General features: G+C 36.7%; 1 protein-coding gene across 2 annotated transcripts in view; it reads left to right on the forward strand.

The window, feature by feature from the left end:
• The window catches only part of KCTD16 (potassium channel tetramerization domain containing 16), a 314,814-nt gene that overhangs the window by 4,540 nt on the left and 297,331 nt on the right, over positions 1–12,943 (forward strand). The window lies entirely within an intron of this gene.

The raw sequence follows: 12,943 nt of genomic DNA on the forward strand, positions 1-12,943 counted from the left end.
CTAAAATGCGATTACTGAAATCCATATAAATTAAAATTGCAACTAGACATTTGATAATTGCATCTGTGTCTCCACATGTATATATATTCAAGTTGATAAAAATATTTTCTGTAATCTTCTCATTGGGCAAATAATATTTAAACCTTATGTTTAAGTTTATGTTACATTAGTCATGTATGTTAATTGATATTGCATAGTAGTTAAGGGTAGAGGCCCTGGAGCCAGACTGCATGGATTTACATTCTGTACTACTTACTTGCCATGGAGCTTCAGTAATTTATTTAAACTCTTTGTGCCTCACTTTTCTCATCTGTAAAAGCAAGATAGGAGTATTCATTGCTAGAAGGGTTGTATGATATAATGTATTCAAGTATAAGTGTCTAAGTACTAAGTATTCCATAAATATTTGCAATAATTATTGATGAATCTATGTAGCTACAGAAGCAATATGATTTCTTCAGGAAAAATTGTCTTTTTAAAAGCTATAAGGATTAGGTTTGAACAAGCTAACTACTTCTAAGATCAATTATAAACATTCACTCTATTGTTTCCCCTGCAGATTCTGTATTATATTATAATTTGCTTTTTGATATGGTGGAGTGTATTAAAATATGCTTTTTTATCTCTGTCCAAGATCTTTCAAATTTGGCTTGTCTGCATTGTAAATTTTAGTCTCATAAGTATTGTCTTAAGAACCGCCTATATTTAGGGCAATTATACTTGAAAATTGTGAACAGTGCTTCTCATATTCGATTTTCTTGATATGTTTCATCTTATTTCAAATACTATGAAAAGTGTCCATCTTTCTGCCTTCCCTTTCTCTCCTCTCTTCCCCTAAAACACAGAATTTATCAGGAGACAGAGCATAAGATGATTTATATTGTGGAAAATATATTTATTGGCAAAGAAAGAAAAAGGCAGTGTCCCAGGCAAATGAAATAATAGCCATAACAATTTTTAAAGATATAGTGTTTCTTTTTTTTTTTTTTTTTTTTTTTTTTGAGACGGAGTCTCGCTCTGTCGCCCAGGCCGGACTGCGGACTGCAGTGGCGCAATCTCGGCTCACTGCAAGCTCCGCTTCCCGGGTTCACGCCATTCTCCTGCCTCAGCCTCCCGAGTAGCTGGGACTACAGGCGCCCGCCACCGCGCCCGGCTAATTTTTTGTATTTTTAGTAGAGACGGGGTTTCACCTTGTTAGCCAGGATGGTCTCGATCTCCTGACCTCATGATCCACTCGCCTCGGCCTCCCAAAGTGCTGGGATTACAGGCGTGAGCCACCGCGCCCGGCCAAGATATAGTGTTTCTTAAAATCATAGATGTGTCAGATTTTATTATACTCAACAAGAGAACAGCTTAAAAATTACTGCAAGCGTGATATATTATGGTTTAGGTTCTCTAGGCAGTATACTTTTTCTATTTTTCTGTTAGAATTCTTCCTGACCATATCTGTTGTCCATTTTTATGTGGTTATTTGTTTTTCTTGTCGATTTAAGTTCCTTATAGATTCTGGTTACTAAATCTTTGTAACCAGATGCATACTTTGGATGCATACTTTGTAAATGTTTTCTCTTATTTTGTAGGTTGTTTACTTTTGCTGTGCAGAAGCGCTTTAGTTTAATTAGGTCCCACTTGTCAATTTTTTGTTGTTGTTGTTGCAATTGCTTTTGGGGACCTACATCAAAAACTCTTTGCCAGGACCAGTGTTGAGAAGGGTATTTTCTGGGTTTTCTTCCAGAATTAAAAAAAGAAGAAGAATTCCTCACAACTCTCTCAATTAGAGTTATTTTAAAGAAGGTTAATGCTTGAACCACAGTAACTGTCATGCTGTCATATCTGTATATCATTGTAATTTGTGCAGAAATTATTGGTAAGAAGGAACATTATACTGCTGTTGAGGAATGGAAGGGATGAGACTAAAGTGATGGTTTGAAAAAATAGAATTCAGACTGGATTAGTTTCCTAGGGATGCTGTAACAAAGTACCACAAACTGGGTGGCCTACATAAATGAAATTTATTGTCTTAGAGTTCTGGAGGTTAGAAACCTGAAATCAAGGTTTTGGCAAGGCTTTTTCCTTCTCAGGGCTGTGAGGGTGAATCTGCTCCGTACCTCTTTTGCAGCTTCTGGTGCTTTGAAAGCAATCTTTGACATTCCTTAGCTTGTAGATGCATCAGTCCAATCTCTGCCTTCACCTTGACATGGTCTTCGCATAGTCTTCTCTCTGTGTATGCCTGTCTCTGTGTCCACATTTCCCTTTTTTAAGAGCACGAGTCATGTTGGTTTAGCACCTACCCAGATGACCTCATTTTAATTTGATTATCTCTGTAAAGATCTTATTTTCAAATAAGGTCACATTCTGATGTCCTGGGAGTAAGGACTTCAATATGTCTTTTGGGGGGATGTACAGTTGAATTCATACCAGCCTTATGATGTTACTGCATTCTTTTGCCCAAATATAGACTAAGTCTTTTGCTACACACATGCTCGAAAGAACAATAATCTGATTTTTTTTCACTTTGATCAGCTATTCATGTCAATGTCAATTTGTTGTCACTATTGCAGAGTGGCAAACCTTTTGAATCAAATCTGTAGCAATGGAGACTTCAACTGCATCATTTTGGATGTCTAGTTTAACACTTGTCCCAAAGTAAACTTTTTACATTGGGTTTAAAGTCAATCTCATGCTTGTAGAAAGACACATGCTGGAATATTTTTCATCAGACTTTCTGAAACAAAGTAAGAGGCCATTATGTTTATAAATGAGTAAAAGCCTGCTAAAGGAAACTCTTAATGTCTACAGTACCAGTTCTTAAACAATGTTATTTTATTGATTTTTTTCACTCGTGATGATTTTTAAAAATATGAAGTAGAACTATAAAAGTAGGCATTCTGATTTTTCAGTTTTCTTCCATAGAAGAAAAAGTTATTATAATCATAATGCTTTTAATGTACTTAGATATGATTTTTTGTTATTAAGACTAATTATAATACTTAACTCTTTTCTTTAAATGAGGTTTATTTTATTTTTAAACAGAGACATGTGAAATCAAATGTCTGATTTTAATTAAATTCTGCACACTTAGATCTAGAAGTCAAAGATAAACACATTTTTTCCTTTTGATTTTAGGTGAAGCAGTCAAGATGTTTTTTATTATTCTTCTGCAGTCCTAATTTTATACAATTTAATGAAAATCATAAATCCCCTGCTGTCTGTGATAATGAATTTTCCTCTCTGGAAGAGAATATAAACATTTCTTAACTCTTGCTAAGATGTTATTTTGGAAAGATTAACATCATTTAAAATATTATTTGATTCTAGATTTATAAATGTCATTTCTTTTCTTGACTCTAATTAAAAGTTATTCCTTTTAATTTAAAAATTGACTTCTGTACTAAATATTATAATACACTACATCCCCTTCCCACTCCCTGGAAATTAAATGTCTCAACTTCATATTAAAATTTTGAGAGGCCCCTAGGAAATTGGCCTGAATTCACTGAGATAGCTCTAAAGTTAACAAGAATAGACTGATCTTCATAGAACAATCAGGACAGCACGTGCATCAGAAAATGACCAAAACACCCCTCGTTTAACTGGCTACACATATTAAGAATTAAAGAGAATTAAAACTGGCAGGAACCTTGAGAGAATTCATTCCCCACTCTTTGACTTTACAAATGAGGATCTGAGGCCAGGAGAAGTGAAGGTATGTATTGTAAGACCTACAGTTGCATGTGTTGACTTGACATTTCTGACCCTCACAGGTTCCTAAAGGTTTGGCCATGAGTTCCCTTGCTCTTGCCAGATATGTCCCCTACCCAGCAGAAAAGTCTCCCCACCAGGCAGGTTCCCCTATCAGCCACCCCACTCAGGCCTCAACCCAAGTGGTTTTGCCTTCTTATGAGCTGGTAAAATTATTCAAAGAAGCAAATTACATCCCCCTCCCCCCATGGGAACCAGGAGGCAACTCATCCTCTAGATACTGTACACCACAGGCCCTGCTTATTCACTCTGCTCCTGAGTGTAACCACTATGTATCCCTGCATGCGTGCAGGCTCCTCTCTCCCAGGCTGTGAGTGTATGTGATTAATAAACTGCTGCCAGTCTCATCTGTCCAGTGTTGAGTATATCATGAGCTCATCCATCTTGTACTATTTGGGAACAGGGATCCTTCCTTCACCAACATGGTAGATAGAAGACTATCAGAACAAGGGATTTGATCAATTTTACTAATAAGACTAGTATCAGATTCACCATTGAATCTTGTCTTTGCCTTTCGGCTAGTACATGACAAAGATTAGGTGATAAATAAGTGATTATAACCATCTAGTTATGTCAGAAACTCTATTAGAAGAGAGGTTATGTTATATTTACTTTTGTATCCCAACTCTAGGACATAAAATAATGTTGTTTGTGGTATTTATTCATTCGTTTAACAAAGATTTATTGAGAACCTACCATGTGCCAGTCACAATATACAACAAACAGATTCTGTGTCTGTCTATGGTTTTTTAAGCTTGACATAGTTCTACTCGCCCATTTTCCCTGTGGGTGCTTGCAAGTTCACTGGCATCAGTCCTCTGCCTGGAGAAATGCTCCTGTTCCTCAGTGCTTCTAGCTTGATGAGGTCATTACTGTGCTTCCATACAAGCCAGGATCACCATTCTTTGTGAACTGGAAGGTCTGAACCAAGAAAAGATTCTAATTTGGAGATCTGCTGCTTGGGAAGATGGGTATAGTGATCTGCCAATGACTATCCTTGCTGTCAGTGATAATGATGCTCCTACATGAGAAACATTCATCTGTTTCTAAGACCCACAGTCCTGAGCATTAGTGCACATGGGATTAGACACTGAGGGATAGCATACTTTGAGAACTTTTTATTTTGTTCAGGGCAAGGGGGAGTGGATCCATGCCAACAGGACTCCACAGAAGCACTCATTTAATCCCCTGGTAGTTCATTTCCTTAAATTCTTCTGCCATATTTCTCAATGTAACTATCCCTCATTCCAATTATCTGTTGCCTTGTAAAGAAAAACAAACAAACAAACAAAAAACTCCAAGAAGACAAAAGAACAAAAATCTCAAAACTTGGTGGATTAAAACCATAACAATAACATTTTATTTCTTGAAAATCCAAAATTTGGGCAGGCTTGTTGGGGGTAGCTCATCTCTGTTCCACACAACTTCAGCTGGGGAGCTCAAAAGCTGAATGTTGAATTCATCTGAAAGCTCATTCACATATGTGACTGCTGATGCTGGCTGCAGGTTGGGATCTCAGCTAGAGCTTTCAAACAGAACATATACACATGGTTTCTTCATGTGGTACGGGCTTCCTCAAAACATGGCGGCTGTAGTCTGGGGAAGAGTATCCTGAGAGAGAGAAAAAAAGCTGTATTACCATTTCTACATCATCCTTGGAAGTCATGTGATATTCTGAGGCATTCTATTGGCTAGAAAACGTGTCTCTAAAGCTGGTCCATATTCAAGGAAAAGACAATTATACTGCAACTTTTTCTTTTTTCTTTTTTTTTTTTTGAGACGGAGTCTCGCTCTGTCGCCCAGGCTGGAGTGCAGTGGCGCGATCTCGGCTCACTGCAAGCTCCGCCTCCCGGGTTCACGCCATTCTCCTGCCTCAGCCTCCCGAGTAGCTGGGACTACAGGCGCCCACCACCACGCCCGGCTAATTTTTTGTATTTTTTAGTAGAGGCGGGGTTTCACTGTGTTAGCCAGGATGGTCTCGATCTCCTGACCTCATGATCCGCCCGCCTCTGCCTCCCAAAGTGCTGGGATTACAGGCGTGAGCCACCGTGCCCAGCCTATACTGCAACTTTTTATGCAAAGATTTTCAAATATTTTTTAAACATGTTTTTAAAACCACCACTTCTCAATGGGATGTAATTGAAAAACAAAACAAAACAAAACAAAGAATAGTGAACGTTCTTGTGTAATCTGAGAGGCCTATGTTGGTTAGTAGCAGTATCTACACAGCAATTCCCTTTTGGGTCTATATAGCCAAAGGATATCAAATCAGCACCTTATAGAGATACCTGCACTCCCATGTTCATTGCAGCATTTTTCAAAATAGCTAAGATATGGAAACAACCTAAATGTCCATCAGTGGATGATTGAATAAAAAATTTGTTGTTGGTGGTGGTGTTTGTGTGTATAATTGAATATTATTCAGCTTTTGTAAAGAAGGAGATTCTGCCATTTGTGCAACATGGATGAAACTGGAGGACACTATGTTAAGTGACATAAAGCAGACATAGGAAAATACTGCATGATTTCCTTTGTATGTTGCTGTGGTTTGGATGTGTCCATCAAAAAGTTGTTGTGTTGGAAACTGAATGGTCATTGTAACAGTATTAAGAGGTGAGGCCTTTAAGAGGTGATCAGGGCAGGGCACGGTGGCTCATGCCTGTAATCCTAGCACTTTGGGAGACTGAGGCAGGTGGATCACCTGAGGTCAGGAGTTTGAGACCAGGCTGGCCAAGATGACAAAACCCCATCTCTACTAAAAATACAGAAATTAGCCAGCCGTGGTGGCACGTGCCTGTAATTCCAGCTACTTGGGAGGCTGAGTAGCTTGAACCTGGGAGGTGGAGGTTGCAGTGAGCTGAGATCGCGCCACTGCACTCTGGCCTGGGCAACAAAAGTGAAACTCCATCTCAAAAAAAAAAAAAAAAGTTATCAGGCCACTAGAGTTAAGCTCTCATGAAGGGATTGATGCTGTTATCGCAGGATTATGTTAGTTATGGCAGGAGTGGGCTCCTAATAAGGTTATCCCCATTCATTTCTCTGTCTTGTGTGGTCACTTCCCCCCTTCACCTTCTGGCATGGATGACTCTTGCCAGGTGCCAGCACCATGCTCTTGGACTTCACAGCCTCCAGAATGATAAGCCAAATAAAATTCTATTGCTTATAAAGTACCCAGTCTGTGGCATTCTGTTATAGCAGTAGAAAACAGACTAAAACATATGTGGAATCTAAAAGCAAACAGAGAAACAAAGCCCTTTAAATATACAAAAGCAGAATAGAATGATGGTTACCATAGGCCAGGGGAAGAAGGGATTGAGATATGTAGGTCAAAGGGTACAAAGTAGCAGTTATGAGGATTAGCACATCTTGAAATCCAAAATACAGCAGGAGGGCTATGAAGGTGATAGTTAATAATATACTATTGCATAATGGACATTTTCAAAGAGTAGATTTTAGGTGCTTTTACCACACACACACCAGCGATTGCTTGAGCCCGGGAGATTGAGGCTGCAGTGAGCCATAATGGTGCCATTGCCCTCCAGCCTAGGCTGACACAGGGAGATCCCTGTCTGAGAGAGAGAGAGAGAAAGAGAGAGAGAGAGAGAAAGACAGACAGAGACAGGTTAAAGAAAAAGTTTCTTAAGATTAAGTACAATTGTGATCTTAATTACCTTTTACCTTTCTTCACTCCCAGTTATGTTTGTTATTATTATTTCTTTGTTATTATTGTTTGTTGTTACTTAACACATATACATACACAGAGTATCTTGTGAGATGATGGATATGTTAAGTTGCTTACTTGTAATCATTTCTCTATGTACATGTATATAAAAAGTCATGTTGTACACCTTAACTTTATGTAATGAAACATAAAAAAAAAAAATAAAAGAGTGGGAGTAAGACCAAAGCAAAATAAACGTGAAAGAAAGAATTCTAAATATATATTAGATCCTAACATGTAAGTAAAGGGCTACTTCAGTATTGAATCTACTTATTGGTGTTTTGTGTTTCTGTGGATATGGTTTTACTGTTATTACATACATTTAGAAATGTTATTCAATTACTAGTGGAGTATTCTGCTTCTTGCACACTGTTCTTCCCTATAAAAACATGGTCTCAAAATAAAATAATTTACTCATAGAATAAAACACAGTTGGATAACTATTCCGTAGTGCTCTTTCTCTACCTATAATGATGCACAACATTTGCTGTTTGCTTATTTTTTTAATGATGCATAAAGGATGACTCTCCTTTTCGTCTCTACAATTTCACATCAGTAAAATGTTTATTCCATGCTCATTTTGCCCCCTAGTGGCTTTTTATGGCCTTGTCCCATATTTAAAAATAATTTTCAAATCTTGTGGAATATAAGAAGGAAAAGTACCATTCTGTTCCTCTGCCACATGCACATTGCTTTATACATGAGGAAACTAAGCCCCAGAAAACTCGCGGGACTAGTCTGGTGTCACACATCCAGCTAGAACTAGAAATTGTATATTGCTGCCTTCTCCTACCCTACTAGAAATAAGCCTCAGGAAGACAGGGCATTTTTGTTCATTGATGAACAAGAATAGTGCCTAGCAAATGGTAGGTGCTTAGTAAATATTTGCTATATGTTATAAATAAAAGTATAAATGAATCAAGGCTAGAACTTATATTTATAGGTTTCATGCTTTACATAATACTATGTAGTATGTTTTATCTTTACCATAAATCTTGTACATAGTGCTTGATACTTGATTCTACTTTACTTCGTGACAATTTCAACTCCTTGAACTACCTCACCCTTTACTTGTTTTGTCATTAGGTTTGTTACATTATCATTCATTTATTCATTCAATATTAGTACCAGCTTAATCAGGTACTGTGATGCCTACAGAACTATAAAGACGTACTTTTTAAAATTCAATTTTTATTTATTATTAACTTGGTAAAATACCATGTAACATAAAATTTGCTGTCTTAACTATTTTTAAGTATACAGTTCAGTGTTGTTAAGTGTATTCACATTGTTGTGAAACTAATCTCTATAACTTTTTAAACTTGCAAAGTGAAATTCTATCTCCATTAAACTTCCCACCCCAGCTCTGGCAAACACCATTCTACTTCTATTTCTATGCATTTGACTACTGTATATAGTATTATTCTTTTTATGACTGGCTTATTTCACTTAGCATAATGTCCTCAAGGTTCGTCCATGTTAAAGTCTATGGCACATTTTGTTTATCTGTTTATCACTGATGGACACTTGGGTTGCTTCCATCTTTTAGCTCTTAGGAATAATGCTCCTATGAATGTGGGTGTACAAATATCCACTTGAGACCCTGATTTCAATTCTTTTGGATATATACTTAGAAGTAGAATTGCCTGATCATATGGTAATTCTATTTCTAATTTTTGAGAAACTGCCATACTGTTTTCTATAGTGGCAACACCATTTTACATTCCCACCAACAGTGCACAAAGGTTCTAATTGCTCCATACGATAGCCAACACTTGTTATTATTTTCTTTCTTCCTTCTTGTAGTGCCATGCTGGTGAGTGTGAGGTGATATCTTATTATGGTTTTTATTTGCATTTCCCTGATGATTAGTGATGTTGAGCATCTTTTCATACACTTGTTGGACATTTGTATAAATTCTTTGGAGTAATGTCTATTCAAGCCCTTTGCTACAAAGAGGTGCATTTAATTAATCAGTTACTTCCTCTGTCTACAGAAAAATTTTAGTTAGCAACATGGTAAGAGCCATTTCCCTTGTTCTTTTTGATAAACTACATCACCATTATTTCAGATCTCAGTAATAAATATAAAATAATAACCAAAACTTGCTCTTATTATGTGTCAGGCACTGTTCTAAATATCTTACATATATTAACTAATTTACTCCTCAAAACTTCCTTATAAATGGATACTGTTAACTATCTTCATTTTGCAGAGGAAGACAGAGGCAGAGAGAGGTAAGTGACTTGTCCAAAGTCAAATGGCTGCTGAGCAGTAGAGTGAGGATGGGTACCTAGGAAGTTGATTTAGAGTCTATGCACTTAACCACAACATTATTTTGCCTCTCTGACACCTACTCAGTCTTTTAAAATATCACCTACATCTTTGTTATTGGACACCTCTTCTGTATAAGTTTGTATTTCAGACAACAGAAAATTAAATGCAAATTGATAGCATTGTAGGAAGATACTCATTGCCTCAGTGGATGCCAAGTCTAGGGTACAGCTAGCTTCAGATTTGTTTGAATTCAGTGGCTCAAACAATATCATATATCTTAATGGTCCCAGAAAATGTTCCCAAATCACATCTTTTTTGGCTCTGGTTGAGCTTCATGTCCATTGCTGTAATAAAAATGGTGGCAGGGAGTATAAAATGCTGTGACCAGTCTACCCAAGTAAGTCATGCACCTGTACCTGGAGCAAGGGTGACAGCAATACAGCCTGAAGCACAGAAACCTGGAGTAGGGGAGGGATAATTCTCATGCAGTATTACTAGACACCCATTTACATTTTATTGTTTTCTTGGGAGATAGGGAGCTTTTTTGCATTAGGAATAAATACATGAGTGAAATTACTAAGATTAAAAAAAAACCCCTTTCTTGTCATGAATGATTTGAGTAATAAAAAGATAATAACAATAGGTAACATCAATTTAGTACTTACTATATAATAAATGCTGTCCTAAGTATTTTACATGTATTGGCTCAATTAATCCTCACAAGAACTCTCTAAGTCAAGTGCTATTATCATCCTGTTTTACTGGTAAGATACCTGAGGTGCAAAAGTTTCTGGGTGTACCTGGAAGGGAATATGATAACTTGCCCTAGGTGACCCAGTTGATGAAGTCAAGATTTGAACTCCAAGTGAGCTTCAGAATCTCTTCTGTATTCTAACATTTGAACACCAGGCTGTCTTCAGAGCCTCTTCTATAATCTATCATTCATATCATAAGGTAGCTTACTTGTCACATATGGAAACTGTGGCCCACAAAAGAAACAGAATAATTCATCAGTTATGCTTGATGTTTGCTACCAGGAAAGACAGCAGAGACTCTCATATGGCCAACCCAGAAAACAATTAGAGTTTACACTAGCATCTAAAGTCTACAGTTATGTAAGAAAGAAATATGTAAATATGAAGTATATTCTACGAAGTTTGTGCTAGATCTCATTTTTTTTAAAAAAAAAAAGAAAAAAAAAAAAACTAATGGCTTATTGTCCCTGTTCAGAGCCTAAGGGAATTGGTTTAAAGTTTAAATAAAAAATTGTACATGCTGCCAGTCAGAACTATTCATCATCATAAGCATTGCATTTATTTTATTTATATGTGCTTTAACAATATTCTAGATTTGTAGTTTTAAAAAATAGCTGAAAAGTCTGTCTCAAAGCTCTCTCACCTCTTAAAAGAAAGCAGAAGGACTTTAAAAAACCAGTTTGTTTAAACAAGGCCAAACTGTTTTCCAGGTATCCACATTTTCTCCTCAACACATGCCCAATCCAAAGACAGAGCATCAAGGGCAATATACTCTATGTATGTTAAAGTTTTAATATTACCAAACTGATCAAGGTAAAGGATTATTAACTTTTTTAACCACTAGAAATGTAACATTAGCTGTGTAGCTTTTCTGGCCTCAGTTTTCTCAGCTGAATAATGAAGACAAAAAGAAACTGGAATAGGGATGTATTGATCCATCTATTCATTCAGTAACTCTTTATTCAACACCTATTATGTGTCAGGTTCTGTGCCAGGTGCTGGGGATGGGATATAATAATGAACAAAAATAATAATGATCCCTTCCCTCTCAGCGCTTACAGTGTCACTGGGGGAGAGAAACATGATTCAAATAATCACTCCTCAAATAGTCAAAGAACTCCTTAGGGCTTTTCAGTTCCTAAATTCCATATATACATAAACATAAAAAATAGTTCATAGAACACAAATCTTCTTACATGTTTATTTGAAAGATCTGACAAATCTCATTTATTTCTTAGACTCATTTTTTTTTCCAGATTATTAGCTACAGATATTGCAAACCACTTATAACAATTTTCTGCCTGCCAATGACATAATGCATTGTACTGGCTCATTATTGTAATAGTTGTTACTATGCATATTGAATGCAAATTTCAGGTAATATTTTAGTCTTCATTTTCTATTCATTCCTAGCACTGCCTTTCTATTTCTAACAGGGAGGGATTAAAAAATAACAGAGTCAATAAATTTTAGAGTTTCAAAGGTAAGAGCTGATTTCACACACACACACACACACACATATACACACACACATACACACAGGGGGCAAGAGAGAAAAAATGTTGTTTATTCTTCTAGCTATAACAAAATATCACTTGGGTTCCCCCTTTTCCTCAGATTTTAATTCTATTGATGAAGCATATACAGAGGAAAATATGAAAATGAGTTGTTTTCACTGAATCATTAATGACTTGAGGCTGGCAGTAGGTAGACTTCTTAATTGCTTAATTGTTTATTAAATTTATTCTTTAGCAGTTGATCTCTGGATTTCTTTGTGTACCCCAGAGTCTTGCTGTTAATCAAATATTCTGTAAAATTTTTGCTTTTGCCTGGAAAAATGATTCTACAAGTTCCAGATGTCTTAGGTTGTGTTAAATGTTTGAGGAAAGAAGGCTATTTATTGGAAACCAGCCAGGATCTTTGTTTAGATTATTTTTGCCAGCAGCTCTTCTACTTCAGGCTGTGATTTCATCAAAAAATATTTGCACAAGCCATTGCTTCAGTAACCACGTCTCCAGCCCCACCGGAAGTGGATGTGGTTAATCTAGTAGACAGCACTCTTCTGTCTGAGCCTAGCTTAGACATAGTAGACTGAAAAATTATGTATCTGGAGTTGTTTTTCACCAGGGTTGGCAAGAGGCTCTGATAATCTGCCATCATTATAGGTTTCTTGCTTCTTATCACAACAGCAAGGCTTCTTTGATGGGGTTGAGTCTAGGCAAATGTTTTGGTTGGTAATTAATTGTCCATATCTTACATTTCATCTGGATTTTTCTGTTAATGTGATCCTTCTATGTGTATTGTCCTTTGGTACTTACAAAAAGCTAATAGATATTAGCTTTGTACCTCTTCCAGATTTACTGTTATTTAGCAGTAGGGAATCATTAAGGCCGCATTCTCATCCTAGATCTGTTTTCTTATGTCTGTC

Source organism: Homo sapiens, chromosome 5, assembly GCF_000001405.40.
Source record: "Homo sapiens chromosome 5, GRCh38.p14 Primary Assembly".
In the NCBI taxonomy this organism is placed as follows: Eukaryota; Metazoa; Chordata; class Mammalia; order Primates; family Hominidae; genus Homo; species Homo sapiens.